Raw genomic sequence first — 19,676 nt, 5'->3', positions numbered from 1 at the left:
TTTTCTTAAATCTCTTAAGCTGCTTGGCGTTTGGCTGTTTTTACTATGGATGATTTACTGTGAATTTATTCAGGGAGGGGTTATATAATTGAAAACAGGAATCTCCAACCTCACTGCTTAAGGATTTTACTGCTATGTCTCTCATTGTTTCTCCCCATCCTCCCTCATCCTTATTCTGTTTTCTGCCTTGGTGATCTGGAATCTACTCATATTCAGATAGTTGTGGGCTTCCTGATAGGGACAATTCAAAACGGTGCTTCTCCGCCCCCACCCCCCCACCCCCGCCCCGCCCCCCGATTGGTATCTCTGTGAGCCCAGATTAAGGTGAAAACTATGAAAACTATAAATGCATTTAATTATGATCTTGCTTATGGGCAAAATCAGGGGCTAAAATCAAGGTTTTAGAGGTAACATTTTTCCACTTGCCTTTTCCACTGTGGGTTAGATGTTGTGAGCATAATGAGTTAGGTGTTCCAAAGAGAGAAGGAAGGGGTTACAAGGAAAATCAACTTAGGTGTACTCTGACTATCAAATAACCAAATTTTCCTAGCCACATGCTAGGAAATTGTGAGCCCACAGTATTTTCTACTAGACTGTTTATAAGTACCACAAGGAGTATAAGAGTGGAAGCACAAAATCCAAAAAAGACATTACTAAACACTAAAAAACTAGGCTAGACAGGCTAGCCAACAGACATACTATATAGATTAAATCAGTTTAACCAAGACCCAAAATAAGCCTGTATTTATTTCCTTTGTTTAGTATAAATGTTTATTAATATTCTATATTACTTGTACAATTTAATTGAATTGTTTAAAATACTTCATAGAAATTACTACTTAATGATAAATGGTGATTAATATTTCAGTAAAGAAAATAACCACCCTTGGTTTATCAGCTTCTTAGAATTTTACCTTTGAATTTTGACTAGATATTAATAAAAAGCAAGGCCAACATAAAGAGATTTTTATTAAGTAAGTGCTTTGGTTTTAAGTATTTCAAGTTAAGAGTAAGTAATTGCTGATGGAGACCTATAAACCAGGTAATCATTTGCTAGCTGTTCATTTCTTAAATATTTCATATAGATGAGTTATTACTAAGTGGCAAAGAATTGGTATTTTTAAAGCACTTAATTCATACATAAAATGAGATTTAACCGTTATGATTTTTTAATATTTGAATTTATTTTTATTATTTTAGTTTTCCTAAGTAGTTCCAAAGAGCTCCAAAATACTGAATTTATCAGATGTTTGACAATTTATATGTAGAAATTTAAATACTTCAGATTTTACCTGAGTGCTAGATTGCTTTACAGACATTATTGAATTATAACTACGTAGTAGATAACAATTACATGAAGTAAATGAAGATCATTCAGAATGAATGAATTCCTATTTAAAGCATATTATGTGTACCACTTTTGAGAGATGCTGAATACTTGAACTGGGCTGGGATGAAAGAAAATTTGAAATAAAGTTCCTTAATTCTAGATGTAAAAAATATTAAAATATAATACAGAAATATTAAATGTCCCTTAATCTGTCTTGGCCTGATTTAAATGAAGCAATTTAATTATATGATTTCCAAAGACTTGTTTTACCTTTTACATTTGATGCTTTTTGTTAAGAAAAGTTGTGTACCATGACATTTTAGAAAATTTGAAGCTATATAATCAAGTATTTACTAGAAATTTTAAAGAGTACATTAAGAGAAAAAGAAAGTATGTAAAGGCTGACATGTTTACATGCACACACACGCGCGCGCACACACACACACACACACACACACACACGACCTTCGTCTGGGATTTTAAATGGGTAGGATGGGATTTGAAAAGATGATGGTGATCTTTCTTTCTGTGTCATTTAGCATGTTGCCACTAGGAAAATAAATTCTCATGCCTTTTCTTTTGTTTTTAGGATTTTCTCATTCAGCATTTACCTTTGGTATAGAAAGCCATATCAGTCAGTCCAATATAAATGGTGCCCTCGTCCCACCCGCTGCATTGATTTCTATCATCCAGAAAGGTCTACAGTATGTAGAAGCAGAAGTTAGTATTAATGAGGTAAGGAAGACTTATTTCAAATACTGATTTTTTTCATCTTAAATATGCCGTTAAGTCAGCTGTCTTGCTTGCTTATTCAGTATTCTGACTTTAGCTTCACAGGGTTAACAAAAGTGCAGGCAGTTCATCCCTAATGTGGTAGTCAGGTTGCACCGGCAAGGTGTTGGCGCCTAGTTGTAAGGACCATTATCTGTAGTTTGTTTGCCTTAATCTGTTTGTGTAAGTAAACACTAATAAAGAATTTTTATTAACACAACAGCATTGTGCTGTGGAATGCTAAGATCATAATTATTGGCCTGAAAATTGTAAATTCTCACGTTATTTGAATATACCCAAATTTAAACCAGTTTGTAATTGAAGCCAACTCTGGATGGTACTGCCTATCTAAGGACTACATGTGAGTAGTTTGTTTGGCTTAGGGGTCAGCATACTGTGGCCCATTAGCCAAATGCTCCTCCCTGTTTTTCTCAATAAAGTTTGATTGGAACATAGCCACATGCATTTACATATTGTCCATGGCTACTTATGGCATAATAGTAGTTGAGACAGAGACCTTATGGCCTGCAGAGCCTAAATTAATATTTACTGTCTACTCTTTTACAGAAAAAGGTTGTAAACCCCGGTCTAGTTTAAAATGTTGTTTTTGTTTTTTGTTTTGTTTTGTTTTGTGTGTGACGGAATCTCGCTCTGTTGCCCAGGCTGGAGTGTGGTGGCACAATCTCAGCTCACTGCAACCTCCGCCTCCTGGGTTCAAGCGATTGTCCTGCCTCTGCCTCCTTAGCAGCTGGGATTATAGGCACCCACCACCATGCCCAGCTAATTTTTGAATTTTTGTAGAGACAGGGTTTCCCCATGTTGGCCAGGCTGGTCTTGACTCCTGACCTCAGGTAATCTGCCCACCTCGGCCTCCCAAAGTGCTGGAATTACAGGCATGAGCCACCACGCCCAGCCTAGTTTAAAATTTTTATCTATAGTGAGGAGCTTTTCCCATTACTTCTATTTCAGAGATTAACATGTTCCCCTTTTGCGAGTATTTTTAAACTGAAGTATCTATGATTTCTGTATCAATGATTATTACTAGAATTAGAAATTACATAATATACTAAAATGGATTTGTTTGTTTCCTCAGCTCTTTGAGTGACCATCCAGTAACGCAAAACTAAATTTTTTCTTAAAATGTGTGTAAATTTGACATGGCGCTTATTCCACAGTGTATCTGTGTTGGGTTTAGTATCTTAAAAATTATTTATAAGTTAAAATACTTTCTCCTGTTCCTGAAATATTACATTACAATGGACAGTTTAGAAAGACAGGCTGTGTTTTTGCAGCTCACAGTACCCTGCAATAACACTGTAGATTGTCACTGGTACATGTTTACCAGTTTAAGTGAACCAGACTTCACATATGCATGTTCCCAGCTAATTTGTACTGTTTGTATTTCTGACTTGTTCTGTGTTTGTGTCTCTTCTTGTGCTTACTTGGAGAACTCTTTATTAGGAACTTCCTAATATCAATAAGTAGAGCTTTGGAAATTTTAATAACTCCCTAATATTCAAGAGCACTATAGCCCCATGAAGTCTGTTTCTGCTTTAATATTTGAATCAAATCACAAGAAACTCTTCAGCTCAAAGTTTTTAGTTTTTTAAAAGATGTATTTACTATAATGGGGCACCAGGCCTCTGATCATTATATGAACTATATTCCATATTGTTTGTTGCTTTGACTAACAGAATTTCAGAATCTAATTAATAAGCCTTTTTATCAGCTCGGCCTACATCTTATTATCTCTTTCATTTCAGCTCTATCTGTACAGCTCTATACTGTAATAATAGTATGAATTAAATGAAAAGGAAAATGTAAGCAGTCATTTCCAGTTGCTGCTTGTAGTTTCTTTATTCCCTCCGGACTTCTTATATGAATTCAGAAAGTTCCTAAAAATGTTTTTTTAGGAACGAAGATTTTCATTTCATTTCTGATTTTGTATAAATACAAATAACTTTAAATATTGCCTTTGATTTTTCTTCTCTCACAATTTTCCAAATCCAGGATGGTACCTTGTTTGATGGTCGACCAATAGAGTCTCTGTCCCTGATAGATGCCGTAATGCCTGATGTAGTACAAACAAGACAACAAGCTTATAGAGATAAGCTTGCACAGCAACAGGCAGCAGCTGCTGCAGCTGCCGCAGCTGCAGCCAGCCAACAAGGATCTGCAAAAAATGGAGAAAACACAGCAAATGGGGAGGAGAATGGAGCACATACTATAGCAAGTGAGCTCAGACAAGAATTTTTTTTTAATTACATGGTTTATTTATTTATTTTTTTAAACTTTTAATTCGGGGTACATGTGCAGGTTTGTTATATAGATGAACTCATATCACAGGGGTTTGTTGTACAGACTATTTCATCACCCAGGTACTAAGCCTAGTGCCCAATAGTTATTTTTTCTGATCCTCCTCTTCCTCCCACCCTCCACCCCCCAGGAAGGTCCCAGGAGACAAGAATTTTTAAAAATTTTTTCTCAGAAGAAATGCCCCATCTTCTATGCTGAAATAATTTCATCTGTTAACTTGCACCAACTTGTTTCCCTAACTTGTATCACACAGTTCAATTCAGATTTTTATTCCTAAAGCTCCAAAAAGCTAGATTTACTTTTATTTTCTTTTTAAAATATCTAGAAACCCTTTTCCCATTGTTAAATGAATTTTTACATCTACATTTGATTTCTAAATAAAATTTGTAATACTAGTTATCAACAAATAACCATAGAGCTCTGACATCGAGATAAAAGGCAACTCATGTTATATGAATGATATCAGCAACCCCTACTGGCAGAAACTCAGAATAGTACTGATAGACATTATATTTAATTCAAACCATTTTATCGTTTTATCCATGTTTAGGTCTAATCATTTAAAGTCTCCCATCCCACTCCCACCCCCACCCCTCTAAAAAAAAAGTATGTGGTCAATACTTAATTAAAGATAAGAATTTATTTTCTGTGTGACTAAGACTGTGTAGTCATGTTCAGCTTAACTGGATATAATTGAAAAATGTTACACTGTGTGCGATAAAGGAAGGTATTTGCTAGTTAAGAAATCACCCATCCACCATGTTGTAATACTGCCTAACTGGAAATGCTTACTTGTGTTTCACGATGCAGATAATCATACTGATATGATGGAAGTGGATGGGGATGTTGAAATCCCTCCTAATAAAGCTGTTGTGTTGCGGGGCCATGAATCTGAAGTTTTTATCTGTGCCTGGAACCCTGTTAGTGATCTCCTAGCATCAGGGTATGTTTCTCAAAGTGATACTAAAATGACTTAAAAATATCTTATTGAACATTTTATAAACATATGCATTATTCAGGTTTTCTGTTGTTGCTTAGTTGTGGCCATTTTGTCTCTGTAAATTTTTTATTCCTTCATGAAGTAATTGTAGAATTTTTAATTAAACTTACTATTTCGAGAATGCTTGGGGGTCCCAACGTGTAGAATGGGAAAAATACTGGAAATGAAAATTCGTGATAGTCGTTTTTATTTGCCTTATTAATATTCAGATGTAAATATGTTGCCTTGTTCTGATACGTGAGAATGTCATGAGGATCTAAAATATATTGCATACTTTTATAGGTCTGGAGACTCAACAGCAAGAATATGGAATCTTAGTGAGAACAGCACCAGTGGCTCTACACAGTTAGTACTTAGACATTGTATACGAGAAGGAGGGCAAGATGTTCCAAGCAACAAGGATGTCACATCTCTAGATTGGAATGTGAGTATCACTATATCCATGATGGATATAATTACTAGTATACCTAACCCTCAGAGCCTCATACTCACGGCAGGGTTTGTCTATTTGTTCAGAATTTGGGGTTTTATTAACTAGTAACAACAAACCGGGAGTCGTCCCCTGCCAGCCCTCTCCCCCACTGTGGGACACAGACTTGCCTTAGTCAGACCAAGGTTCAACATCCAGCTCTTCAGTGTATCCCACAGCATATCCTTGGTTAAATTGTTACTTTTTACTCTGTACTTCATTTTCTTTAAATGTCAAGTAGAAGTGTGAAAATGGTACCTAAATATTTGAGATAATAGGTGAAAATTCTTACCATAATAACAAACAACATACTAAATCTATAACAACCGAGTCCTTAGGGGATAAAAGAATTCTGTGTAGCAAAAAACATGTTCTTGTTTTTCTCTGTATTCTGTGAACTGGTAGAACTTTATTACCAATTTCCTTTTAGGGATCATTAGTCTAGACAACGTCTGAATTTTATTCCCACTGTAGGAATCTTGTAATTCTCTGATTCTGTGTATGATTCAACATCTTTCAGGACAACTTGACTACTGTGACTTACAAAAAACTTTGACTTCGTTGTTGATAAATTCTCACCATTATAGTTTTAAATACATCTCTTACCTCGCTCCGCTACCCCCTGCCCCTCCCCCAAAACTCTTAGATTATTTCAGCATTGCAAAGAATATCAAGATAGTTGTTCTTTGCTCAGCAAATGAATGTTCTTTTCTCTTCTGTTTAACAACCCTTTGTGGACTTTCTAAAGGATCTTCCAATTCTTTTCCCCGGGAATGAGATCTATCTTTAAAATGATTATCCCCACTAAAGTTCTCAGTTTCTGTGAAATGTTTTTTCAGAAATCATAGCTAGGTATTTTTAGCATTTTCTTCCAAAATTGCCAGCAGCATATTTACTCTTCCCCTCCATATGACAATTCTAAAAATTCCAAAGGGGTTTAGCACATTGTAGTATTATTTACTTGTAAGATCAAGACAGAATTATTTTCTTAATATGGGCCCTTATTATATTTTAGTTCAGATATCTTACAGCTTTCTTACGCTACCTGGTCCACTGGCCATGTTAATGAAATTTATAGTTTACACTGAAAAGGATGGTTAATGAATATTGGTTTGTTGAGCTTGGTAGTTCTGAACTGCATTTTATAGTTTTGAAAAGTGTGGGCTTTTAAAAAATGTGTTATTCACGGTGAACTTGGAAAACATTATCCTCGATTAATGATTCTTTTCCATGGCTAAAGCAAGAGAGCCTGTGAGATTTCTCATCTTTACAGTATTTTCCTAGTTGAGCAGTTCATGAACTAAAACATTTAGGGACTGATAGTTTAGAGGAAACTTGACATTGTGTAGGATGTGGAAATAAGCTTTTACTGTTGACTTCAACATGGCTCCCCTTCTTCTTGAGACAGAGCCCTAAGGGATGGCCACATCCCAGCAGAATTGAGTCTGCAGTTCCCAGAACCAGCATTTGTTTTTGTTTGTCACTTAGCCATACTGCTAAATGGCTTGAGAGATGTGAAATAGGTGATCTTGTTTTGAATGCCCTTACCAAAAACCATCAATAATATGTCAAGTAATGCAGGATTTCATTCTCCAGTAATGTTTACTGATTCTAGCAATAGTCTGTTTACTATAATCTGTAACTTCTGTGTTTGCATAGAGTAGGTTAGATCTGTCCTTTTATTACACAATTCATCGAGGCAAGGTGCACAGCAAGGGAATATAAGTTGAGAGAAATTTATATGGACTTTTCCTCCTGGTAAAGTAGGCAGTTGTACTTACTTCATTAACTATAAAGTCAGCCTGTGCTCTTTTCTGGCTCTTTTCCTTGTTGATCTTTTTATTGGCAAATATTTCATAGTGGGAAGGGATTAATAATAGAAAGGAACATTCAAGTATTTAAGAATCTGATCATTCGAAACAATGATATTGTTTGGATCATACCCACACACTTCGTTTTAGACAGTAAAGGATTTAGAGGAATGGCCATATAAAACCTTCTAATCATATTTTAAAGTTTTTCTTTTTTACTTCTAATAAATCATTGTAAGACTATGAATTTGATGTTCTTCCCAGTCCACCACTCTACCTTCATTCTTAGTTGTGTGAGTCTGTGAGAATACTTTTGGCATGCATGAGGTGGGGTGATGTAGATCCTGGTCCAGAGCAATCACTGTCAGTTGTTGAACTTTGGATATAAGGCCCCCATACAACATTAGTGTCACACAGTGGAAGGGTTTCATAGGCCTTTAGTGGCACTCACAAGTAGGCAAAACTGACAAGTTTTGAAGCAGAGAATGTCTTCATTCTCTTCTGTACCTGGGATTTAAACATGAAATACTTTAACAACAATTAAATACCGTATCTAGATTATATAATTAAAGAAATGTTTTTCTCTGGCAGAGTGAAGGTACACTTCTAGCAACTGGTTCCTATGATGGGTTTGCCAGAATATGGACTAAAGATGGTAAATGAAGCATTTTCCTTTTTACTTTGTTGTTGATCTAAAGATAGAAAATTTAAAATAATGTTAATGTTTTTCTTTTGCATTTTAGGTAACCTTGCTAGCACCTTAGGGCAGCATAAAGGCCCTATATTTGCATTAAAATGGAATAAGAAAGGAAATTTCATCCTAAGTGCTGGAGTAGACAAGGTAAAAGCTCATTAAGTTCTGTAAAGGCAAATGTATTACAGAGCTTAATTGAAAGCAGTATTTTGTCTTAGCTGCCAATTACATAAACATTCCTATTTGGGAAATTCACATAGGAATTTATGCTAGAAATACTCCTTAGGTCTATCAGCTCATTTCTGAATCTACTTACCAAAATGTCCTTATCCTTTTATCTATGTGAACACTTTTAATTTTACCTGGAATTTGAACCATAAACAATGTCATACGTCCTGCACTTTTTGCTTCCCTTCTACAATTTCTAGTTAGTCTCACCAGTGAATATGGCTCTGGAGTGAATCCATGGGAAATTCTAGAGCTGGTCTGTTAGCCGAACTCCTGGTACTTAATTGAAGCTAATATGAAATGCAGGATCTGTCTAGCCTTCTTTGTCTAAGTCGGCTGGTGAATATAGATGAGTTGGAAATAGGACCTTCTTCCTCCTAAAGGTTTAAGATTATCTTAATCCAGGAAAGGGCATGCTAATAATTGAGTGTGGTGTCAAACAGGGAAGTGGAGAGAAGCTAGTTCACTCTTTATAAAATTCAGAGAGCAATAAAAAAAGTGGCAAAAGGGGAAGAAAAGTGAAGTAGGCTGGGAAGGAGAGAGACTGAGTCCTGTTAATAGTCACCGCCACTAGACAATACTTTAGGTTCTTGCTTTAAGTACTGCCAAAATTCAAGCTGCCTTTTTGGGTAAATGGGAGCTTTCAGAATCTTTCAGTATTGAGAACTGATTACGTTGTTAACCAAGAACTTCTCTCTTACTAAACATCTATACGAGTCTTACATTAAATGTACTATTACAATGGAGTTTTTTAAGCAAAATCTAGTATAATGCCTGGCCCTTTGTAGACTACCAGTAATTGTTATTTGAAGTAAGTTGACCAATGCAAAATCATCAGGGAAGAATCAAACTGCTTAATAGTCATTTTCTCCCAAAGTATATAGCCTTGTGGTACTATTTGGGATAAAGTGTTTAAAATTAAATCCACTCTGACATTTCATATTGCTGTAATACAGTTAGGCATATACTTTACACATGTATGTTAAACTTCTTTCCATGAGTTTATTTTTCTTTTCCTTTTAATCTCAGACTACAATTATTTGGGACGCACATACTGGTGAAGCCAAGCAACAGTTTCCTTTTCATTCAGGTAAATTTCTTATAATTTACGTGAAAGCTGGAGCTTGCTTCTGTTTTTCTAATTAAACTTTTAACAGCATATAATTTATTTTAAATGTTGAAATATCAAGTATCAGTCTTGTTACTAGTCCTTTGGAGAGTTGATGTTCCATGACATTCAGACTCTTAATTGTCAGAGGATCATCAAACGTTTTCTGTGAAATGTACCATAAAGCATTTGCAGCCTGGTGCAATTAGAGGTGGCATTATTTAATGGAAAGAACATAGATTTTTGAATCAGAAAATCTAGGTTTGAATGTCAGTTCCACTCCACTTAAGAAGCATTATTAAGACTGAGCAAGTCACTTAACCTTTCTGAGCCTCCTTTTCACTGTCTGTAAATGAGGGATAATAATAATAATAATACCTGTTTGTTATGGGATAAGGCTAAATGATATACATGAAAATACTGTATAGACTCCTATAAGTTTAGGTATTGTTGTCATTTTCTCATTTTGGATCCAGGTACCTGAGTATTTGTCTACAGGAAGTAAAAAATAGACTTTCCCAATGTTGTTGGAATGTTGGTGGCTTAGATGGATTTCTCTTTTAAGAAATACTCAATGTGGTACTTTTATCTGATTAATCAGACCTCGAAAATAGTGCTCCGTCCTTCATGATATACAGTCACACACCCAGACATTCAGCTTGAGTAGAGCCAGCCATATTTTTGTGCCCACGCTCCGTTTAAGCCTAGAACCTTTGCGCCGCTTTTCAGTGAGTTTCCCGACTGCAGTAACTAAATGATGTTAAACTGGAACAAGATACCCAGTGGTTTTAGTACTACCTGATTTAGCTGTCTCTTTGATTTTGTTGTGCTAGAAAAAATTTCAGTTTGGAGACTGACTAAAATAACCCTGGTTATTCTCAAATCTTTGATGACATCCTTTTACAAACAGCGAGCCAGTGGCACAGCATCAACTTTAAAATGGAAATTTGCAACTTCAGGCATTTTGCTTTTTTTTCATTCTCTGTTTAGTGTGCCTAAACAAGCCAAAATAAGGTGCAAAATGATTTTTCTGTAGTATCTGAATAAGTTTGCAAACATCGTTAAACAATTCAACTTGATTAAAGCTCACCACTTAATAAGCATTTACACATACATTTTTGTTCACCTGTTGTGCTTCCTTTTCATCTTTGCTTCTAGTTTTCAGAATTCTCTCAGGCTTCTTGGCTGTTAATCATACTAATTTCTCGTACATCCTAGGAGTAATGTAAAGTTGAAGTAAGTATGTTTATGGTACTATTGCTAGGTACCATATGATTAGTACCAACTCTGTGTTGGAGATGGTGCTCTTTCTGTCCCCTTTAGTCCTGACTACAACCTGATGAGGTACATAGTATCAAAGTATTTTTACGAATAAATAAGCTTCAGTTTACCCATCGTATTCTTTCTTACCATACTTTTGTTTTTAAGACAATTTTATTGAGGTACAGTTGACATAAAATGAACTGTATGTATTTTACTTGAACCATTTGATATATTTTGACATATGTATACACCATTGAAACTATTACCGCACTCAGGATAATGAATACATCTGTTACCTTCAGACGTTTCTTCTTGCCCCTTAGTGATATCTCTCTCCCATCCCCAGAGATTAGATTACATTGTATGATTGGGATCATACAGTATATACTCTTTTTTGGTCTGTCTTCATTCTGCATAATTTTTAATTCCTGCAATATACAAAATATATCTTATTCAACTGTTATCAGTAAGTCTTCTAATCAGCAGCTGGCTATTAGTTGGTAAGATTTTGGGGAGTCAAAAGCTATGTGCAGATTTCCAACTGCACAGGGGGTTGGTGCTCCTAACCCTCACATTGTTCAAAGATTAACCATATCATATGTTCAAAAAGCTAAGTAGAGACACAGAAGATATGTTATTAAACTTCTAGAGATGAAGTTATGTTATTAAACAACATGTGAGATGAAAAGTGCACTGGTTAGGATAAACCACAGATTCGATGCTGCGGGAAGAAATGATTTATGACCTTGGAGGCAGCATAGAATCTATCCAAAAACGCAGAGAACATAGACTGGAAAAGAGGGTGTGGTGACAGAGCATCAGTGAGTTGTGATAAAACTTTGGGCAGACTAATACCTACATAGTTAGAATCTTAGGTAAAAAGGTAGGGGAGGGAAGAGGGGCAGAAAATAAGATTATTTAGCCCATTTAAAATTATCACCTCAAGGTAGATGGTGACAAGTTAAAGGTGTGCACTATAAATCCAAAAACACTACTAAAAATAATTACAGTTAAGAACCCATCAAAGGAGAAGAAAATGTAATCATAAAAAATATCCAATTAATCCAAATGAAGGTAGAAATACAAAAAGGGGAAAGAACAGAAGAGATAAACAGAAGTACAGTAAATTTAAATGTAACCATATGACAAAGCAAAATAAGTGTAAATGGCCTAAATATTAAAAGGCAGAGATTGTGAGACTGAATCAACAAGCAAGACTCAACTATATACTGCCTATGTAAAATATACTTCAAATACAAAAATATCAATAGGCTGAAAATAAAATGATGTAAAAATAAATACCATGCTATCACTAATCAAGTGTACATTTATACATTTCAAGTGTATAAGTATGCATTTCAGCAAGAGACAGCTGAAATGGCTACATTAATATAAGACAAACTAGATTTCAAAGCTCAGAAGATTTACAGGGAAAAAGGAGGTTATTAATACAAGATAAACAGTCAATTCAACAAAACATTTTAAAATGATAATGCATTTAATAACACTGTTTCAAAACATATGAAGCAAAAACTGATGGAACTTCAAAGGAAATAGAAATTATTGTGCTTCCAATTGTTGAAGACTTTAGTATTCTTCTCTCAATAATTGATGGACTGAGAAGATGGGAAGAGGGAAGTAAGGCTATAAACGATTTGAAGATTATCCGATAACTTGACCTAAATGACATTTATAGCAACAATGGAATTAAATTAGAAATCAGTATTAGAAAGCTCTCTGGAAGAGCCCAAGTACTCAGGAACCCACACTTCTAAATAACTCATGGGCCAAAGGAGAAATCAAAATTAAGTTAGAAAGTTTTATATTTGACTAGAGATTTTATAAGTTAATAATATACTGAAATCCATTGAATTGTATGCTTTAAACAGGTGAATTGGTATGTGAATTATATGTCAATAAAGGCTTTTTTTTTTAAAAATAAAGTCAGTAATAAATGCATCCTTCTTCGCTCATAGGTTCATTCCTTCTCTTTTAAAATTATGGAGGCTACATGGGTTAATGAAAGTAAATCAGAAGAGGGGTGGAGCAGACAAAAATGTTAACTTTAGCTCCAAGATTTTAAGAAATTATTTAACTGGGAAAATTAAGTTTTCATAGCCTCTTATGTGTAAAATGAGATGGGTATTAGTGAACACACTTCTCTCACTTGTCAGGTACATAAAATTTTTTTTTATGTTAGATATTTCTTTCTAAAGAACTTGTACTATCAAGACTCATTTTAAGAGTAAATATAAAATAAGGAGGTATGTGTTCTTTGATTACATCAATCTATAAGCACTGTATTTTATGAGGCAGGCATATCACAAAAGCGTTAATCACACAACCTACGTTGCAACATTTCCTACATCCCAACAATCTTGATTTGGTTATGTAGTTTGGTTTTGTTTTTCTTTTATGAACCTAATAGCGTGTTTGTTTTAATGCTACTTTTTGTTTATTTTAGCCTCCTCTCTAACATTTTGCAGGCTGCCCTGTATAAAATTAACACCTCTGGAACATCCTGACATATATTTGGCCTTGTGAATAACACTTTAATGTATCTTTAACTGTCTTCTAATTGGATTTTTCAGGCCTCCCTTCCCCATTTTTTTGCACTTGTTAACAATAGAAAGATTACTAACCAAAAAAATTAAAATTTTTAGAATTGTATTTTAAGTGATAATACTTAATGTCAAAATGAAAGTGCACAGTCAAAATGAAAGTGCACAGTAGTTACTGAATTAGGTTCCATGGAGGAAAACGACGTGTAAACTAGACACTCCAATAAAGGGAATTTAATACAAAGAAATATTTGCAGAGGTGTTGGGAAGAGTGAAAAACTAAGGAATAGGAGGTAACCAAGAGACTAATTGAAGGAAGTCTAAGACTCTAGAGGAGAAGGCAGGACCTGATTGTCCAGTGGGGACTGGGTTGTAGAGGATAGGCTGCCTGGCAATGCTCGACACCCAGCCTGAAATGATGGCAGTCGTGCTTGTCTTCTTACTACTCCTAACTTTGGACTCCTCACTTTGAACTCCTGACAGTGTCTTACATTGTATGAACCCATCTGGAAACCACTAGGCACAGGAACCCGGGACATAACTTACAATAGCCCTCCTGGGTTGCACATCCTAGCAGGGCAGAGTGCAGTAAGGAACGAATGAGAGTTGACTGCCAAATGAACAGGACAGTCATCCACATTGCTGTCAGAAATGGTGATACACACAAGTAGAGGCAGAGTTCACACATCATGCGGATAAAGTTGGCACATATTTTTGTTTACTAGTTGATTTAGGTTGGGTTTCTCCAAAAGGCAGGCCCTGTGCCAAACATTTGAGTGAAGTGACTTATTGTGGAAAACCTCTTAGGAGAAATAAGTGAAGAAATATGGGAAGCAGGATGGGGGGGAGGGAAGAAGCCAAGGAAGGAAGTGATTCTGGTGAAGAAAGGCCCAGTCTCAGCCTGGTGCAGAGGGGAGCTTGCACCTCAAAGTTTTTCTTACATTGAACCAAGGGTGCTAGGTCTTTAGATCTCTCCTCCCTCCCTCCTTCCCAAAAACATACACAACACCAGCTTGGATACAGAGCAGCAGAGCAAGGCAGTTCTGTGAAGTTTGTCCCTGGCAGCCCTTAGCAGTGAAGCACTCAGCTGGGAATTGGACACAGCACAGGCAAAAAGGCTTATGGGCAGGAAGAGCAAACACCAGCTAAAGCAGTGCTGCTTCATGACTAGAATAAAAATACAGCCTGCAACTTACTCAGCCTGACAACTCTGAGGTGTGATTTTTGACTATGTTTACTTTGTTGGGAATTCTCATAATTTGAAATTTTGTATAAAAGGTGAATTTATGTTAATAATTTTATATGGCACTTTGTTAAAAGGTTGATTGAGGGAGGATTAAATATTTTAAAAATATAGTTATTTGAAATTTCATGTAACCTCCATAGTAAGTTCCCATTAAATCTTTTCTTTCCAGTCTGTTTCCTTTATGAGCTTACTCTATCCAAGTGGTGTCCTGATACCTAGTTTTTCATTGTAGAAATATACCCAAAACTAATTATTTTAATGTCTGGTCATATTACTACAATTCGCTTCTTTGTTCTTTAGTACTTAGTACTTTTAGATTTGGGGCTTACCTGATTTGTCTTTAGCCAGGCAGTGAAATCAATTTCACTCTTTCCTGTTGTACTTTATCTTTTAAAAAAAAAAAATCTCAGTATAGTTCTGATTAAAATTTCCTTTCTGAGTCCTAAATGCTTTAAATCTTCTTTTCCCATTCTTTTTACTTCTCCTATCCATAGTTACAAGTTCTTACGCATGACATATCTCTTGGCTGATAAGTTTAACTGCTTAAGCACCTGTTTATGTTTCATTTTTAACATAGCCAGTTACTATTATGCTTGGATATACACAATGAGGGAGTTTGTGGCTTTGTTTTCCCTTTCCACAGACGTCTCTAATCTCCTTTATTAAATGCTTTGTATTTCTACTAATTAGTATACATAGCTAAACTTTTTGTTTTTGTTTTTTGAGACATAGTAGTCTTACTCTGTTGCCCAGACTGGAGTGCAGTGGTGCAATCACGGCTCACTGCAGCCTCGGCCTCCCCAGCTCAAGCAGTCCTCCTGCCTCAGCCTTCCAAGTAGCTGGGACTATAGGCATGGACCACTACACCTGGCTAATTTTTTATTTTTTAGAAATGAGGTCCCACTGTCTTGCCCAGGCTGGTCTCAAACACCTGGGCTCAAACAGTTCTCCTGCCTTTGCTACCAAAGCGCTGAGTCACACCTGGCCACACAGCTCAACTTTAACTCTCCTGTTTTTCCCCTTTAAGTTTTTTCTTTAAATTAGGGTTGACAAACTTTCACTAAAGGACTTGAAAGTATTTTAGACATTGTAGGCCATAAGATCTCAGTTGCCACTAATCAGCTCTGCCCTTGTAGTGAAAAAGCAGCCATAGGTAATATGCAACTTCATGCATTTGTCTGGGTTTCAATAAAACTCTTATTTATGGACACTGAACTTTAAATCTCATTTTTCCACATTTGTATGTCTTCCTTTGATCCCCTCCTCCCCCATTGCACTATAAAAGCCATTCTTGGCTTATGTGCCATAGTTTGTCAACCCCTGCTTTAAATGCAGTCTTTGATATGCTTCTGTTGCCTAACCCAGTTACTCACTATTATTACCATAATCTGTGTTGCTAATTACGGAGATCTTTTGCACCTTGCAGCAGGAGACAAGGATGTTCAATAATTTCAGAGCTAAACTCAAAGTATTAAATGCCAGCCTGCTTTGGGGCTTCAGAGATTTTTAAATTCATTGATTTTAAGGGGCATTTGATTTTAAGAGGTGTTTGACAAGAACAGATTTTAAGAGGTATTTGGCAAAAGTTGCTTAGAAGAAAATTATTTGCAAATCATATGCCGTATTCCATTTGTTAGTTGAGTAGATGATAATGGGAATGATACTTATTCAGCATAACATTTGTCTAACTCTTGTAATTGACAGAGTACTTCCACACACATGATCTCACCTGGTCTTCACCATGTGTACTAAGGATAAAGATAGTACAAGTTTAGTATCCCTTATCTAAGTGTTTGGGACCAGGATTGTGTTGCATTTTTTATTTTTATTTTTTTTCTGATTTCGGAATATTTGCATATACATAAGGCAATATCATGGGGATGGGACCCAAGTCTGAACATGAAATTAATTTATGTTTTACATATACCTTATAATATAGCCAGATGGCATCATTATACAGTATTTTTACTAGTTTTGTGCATGAAGTAAAGTTTGTATTAAGCATTTAATGTGTGGAATTTTCCACTTGTGGCATCATATTAGCATTCAAAAAGTTGCAGATTTTGGAGCATTGTGGATTTTGGATTTTCAGATTGGGGTGCTCAACTTGTGTGTTATCCTCACTCTTGTGTGTGAGGGTAACACTTGCATGTTACCCTTATCTAAAGAGGATATATCATAGAGGTTAAGTGACTTGCTTGTGTCCACTAATTATGCAGTGACAGAACCGAGGCTTCTTGTCCATTGAACACTCACAGATTTTAGAAATGAAAAGCATGATATCATCACATTTAATTTTATCATTTTATAAAAGAGAACCCAAGACCCACAGAGCCAGCTCTCAGGAACCTTCATCTCCCAGTTACTAGGCCAGTGTACTTTCTCTTAGGGTCTGTCTCACCTAGAAATAACTAAATTGAAATTTGTTAATATTGTTGTATATAGATACTTTTATTTTAATTTTTTCTTAATATCTTAAAAAGTATAAAGTAAAATGTTTAAGTGCCTGTTAGTATATTTTATTAGTCAACAATGGTTCAAAGCTAAAACTCTTGGATTTTAGTACATGTGGAATAAAAGCAAATCTAACCTTTGTTCCTTTGCAGCACCAGCATTGGATGTTGATTGGCAGAGCAACAACACCTTTGCTTCTTGTAGTACAGATATGTGCATTCATGTCTGTAAATTAGGACAAGACAGACCTATTAAAACATTCCAAGGACATACGGTAAGAAACCTTTTTTCCACATTAAAGTGGTCATGATTAACAAGTAATGTTTCAGAATAGTTTTAAAGTATGTATGTTTAATATTCAAGTAGCTACCCAGTCTATACAATGAAAATGTGAATATTTACTATTATTTTTAGAATGAAGTAAATGCTATCAAATGGGACCCAACTGGCAATCTCTTGGCCTCCTGTTCTGACGACATGACTTTAAAGGTAATTTGCTTAGTAGGGAGAAATGGGTTGGCGGTGTCACACAGTATGGTTGCTCTGGCCATTTTAAGACCATTTAGAATGTCTGTCTTACATGGAGTGTTTGTACCTGCATGAAAACTCCAACATTTTAAATGGCTAACCATTGTTTTTTAAATTTTATAGTTTCTTTTCTGAAATACATAAAACTATTTGAATGTAGCAAATTATATTAAAATGATGGCTTGTGATACAATGAGACATATGATACCCTATTAGTTAGGGCTCTCCAGAGAAACAGAACCAATAAGAAGATGGATGGATGGATGGATGGATGGATGGATGGATGAGAGATTTACTGTGAGAAATTGACTCACGTGATTATAGAGGCTGAGAAGTCCCACAGTCTGCTGTCTACAAGCTGGAGACCCATGAAAGATGGAGGTGTGGTTCCATTCCAGGGCCAGAGAAGGAGTGCCAATGGTGTAAGTCCCAGTCCAAGAGCAGAAGACCAATATACCAACTCAGCAGTCAGGCTGAGGCAGAGAATTCTTGCTTCCTTGGCGGTTTTGTTCTGTTTAGAGCCTCACTGGACTGAGTGATGCCCCCCCCGCCGCCCATTGGGGAGGGTGGCAGTCTGCTTTTCTCAGTCAGCTAAGTTAAATGCCTGTCTCAACTGGGAACACCCTCAGACACAGCCGGAAATAATGTCTCACCAAATATCTGTACCCTGTGACTCAGTCAAGAAGACAGATAAAATTAGACATCACCAATAGTAAGAAAGGTCATGCTATAAATTGTCTTCACCATTAGAAAGTCATATGTTGAGGCAATTAAAGTTTATTTGCAATTAAAGTTTATTTGCATATGTAAAGATTTGACTTAATAAGTACTCAAAATCTTTGTAGCATTCATGGATTTGATTGGAATTCTTTGCGTTGTATTAATTTGATTTTGCTGTGGTATGACTATGTATCACCATTGCTGGGAAACTGATACATAGCAGAGAATCTCTCAGTGAGCGAGCCTAGTTGACATACCAACATCCACATCTCAACATGGATCTCTGTTTTTCTTGTTGTATGACTAAAAGCAAAACTGCTGTCTCGCACCTAAGCACACCAGATTCCTCATTTGGGGAAAAAAGCATTTGGAGATAAAGAACAACGTAATACTTATTTCCAAAATAAATGAAGCTTTGAGCCCTCTCCTGCAACAGCTAACCCTCTACTGAAAACAGTTTTATCCTTGACTTTGCAGTACCAAGGACTGCAGATGTGATGACCGTTACAGATATGAAAATCATGAGGGAAAACTGATTTTCCTGCTACTATGAACAGATTAAATTTAACTTTGCGAAACTTGTGAGGTTTTCTCCTTTAAGTATCTGCTATGTTTTTAGACAGTTCTTCTTAAGTCTGGGCTCCCTTACAAAATTGCTAGTATTAATACTCTTCTTAATGCTTTCATCTTTGGCTTTTCCTTATGTGCACACGTATTAATGCTTATAACATGAAAAAAACTTCTTCTGGAACTGTGTGTGACACATATGAGGAAATGACAGAAGGGCAGTGTCCAGAGGGCCTTGTGCCACATATTGAGTTGAAGCTGGAGAGAGGTTAAAACTAGAAATTGTTAGAGAGCTTTTCTTCATCCTAAGAATGTTTAAATGTCACAAAGGATTTTAAAGCAAAAACTAGGATGGATGGATAATGTGTAATGGGCCGTTTTCTGAGAAGAGGGAATGCCAGATGGAATGAGAAGGTGACGCTGAGTCATGCGAATGGAGGAGATAGGTGGGACTGATGCTTAGAGAACTGTAAGCTCAAGATTAAAAACTGGGAATTCTCAGCAGATAGGTGGTCTTTAAAATCCTTGGGCATGGCCAGGCCTGGTGGTTCACTGTTGGGGTTCAATCAGGCTGGTGGGAAAAATATTAGAGATAGTTATAGAAATAGAC

General features: G+C 36.0%; 1 protein-coding gene and 1 long non-coding RNA gene across 19 annotated transcripts in view, besides 3 other annotated features; one reads left to right on the top strand and one right to left on the bottom strand.

The window, feature by feature from the left end:
- The window catches only part of TBL1XR1 (TBL1X/Y related 1), a 182,457-nt gene that overhangs the window by 145,963 nt on the left and 16,818 nt on the right, over nucleotides 1-19,676 (top strand). For all 18 annotated transcript variants that reach the window (XM_047448940.1, NM_001374327.1, XM_011513142.3 and 15 more), the window contains 9 exons: nucleotides 1,920-2,065; nucleotides 4,112-4,334; nucleotides 5,228-5,360; nucleotides 5,700-5,841; nucleotides 8,289-8,352; nucleotides 8,441-8,538; nucleotides 9,649-9,709; nucleotides 17,404-17,525; nucleotides 17,666-17,740. In XM_047448940.1, coding sequence (XP_047304896.1) covers nucleotides 4,169-4,334; nucleotides 5,228-5,360; nucleotides 5,700-5,841; nucleotides 8,289-8,352; nucleotides 8,441-8,538; nucleotides 9,649-9,709; nucleotides 17,404-17,525; nucleotides 17,666-17,740 — 861 coding nt within the window. In that variant the 5' untranslated portion in view covers nucleotides 1,920-2,065; nucleotides 4,112-4,168. The remainder of the gene's footprint in view (nucleotides 1-1,919; nucleotides 2,066-4,111; nucleotides 4,335-5,227; nucleotides 5,361-5,699; nucleotides 5,842-8,288; nucleotides 8,353-8,440; nucleotides 8,539-9,648; nucleotides 9,710-17,403; nucleotides 17,526-17,665; nucleotides 17,741-19,676) is intronic.
- TBL1XR1-AS1 (TBL1XR1 antisense RNA 1) lies at nucleotides 7,915-18,433 on the bottom strand. Its single transcript, NR_174966.1, has 4 exons — nucleotides 18,094-18,433; nucleotides 17,388-17,476; nucleotides 10,854-10,941; nucleotides 7,915-8,204 (listed from the first exon to the last, which is right to left on the bottom strand). It is a non-coding gene; the product is annotated as a TBL1XR1 antisense RNA 1 (long non-coding RNA).
- Nucleotides 13,968-14,212: a silencer, noted in NCBI's record as "fragment chr3:176759414-176759658 (GRCh37/hg19 assembly coordinates)". NCBI's record gives its function as "represses an EF-1alpha promoter that drives an FKBP-Casp9 reporter gene in an ReSE screen in HepG2 liver carcinoma cells {active_cell/tissue: HepG2}" and the evidence as "EXISTENCE:reporter gene assay evidence [ECO:0000049][PMID:32094911]".
- Nucleotides 15,623-15,917: an enhancer, noted in NCBI's record as "tiled region #5683; HepG2 Activating non-DNase unmatched - State 16:ElonW, and K562 Activating DNase unmatched - State 14:Gen5'". NCBI's record gives its function as "activates a minimal TATA promoter and a strong SV40 promoter by Sharpr-MPRA in HepG2 cells, with weaker activity in K562 cells {active_cell/tissue: HepG2 | K562}" and the evidence as "EXISTENCE:reporter gene assay evidence [ECO:0000049][PMID:27701403]".
- Nucleotides 17,259-18,458: an enhancer, noted in NCBI's record as "CDK7 strongly-dependent group 2 enhancer chr3:176755168-176756367 (GRCh37/hg19 assembly coordinates)". NCBI's record gives its function as "activates an origin of replication core promoter dependent on BRD2, BRD4, P300/CBP, MED14 and CDK7 cofactors, with strong dependence on CDK7, by STARR-seq in HCT116 cells {active_cell/tissue: HCT116}" and the evidence as "EXISTENCE:reporter gene assay evidence [ECO:0000049][PMID:35650434]".

Source organism: Homo sapiens, chromosome 3 (assembly GCF_000001405.40).
Source record: "Homo sapiens chromosome 3, GRCh38.p14 Primary Assembly".
Lineage (NCBI taxonomy): Eukaryota > Metazoa > Chordata > Mammalia > Primates > Hominidae > Homo > Homo sapiens.
Note: the sequence above shows the minus strand (reverse complement) of the source record. Positions and strands in the feature narration are given on the sequence as shown.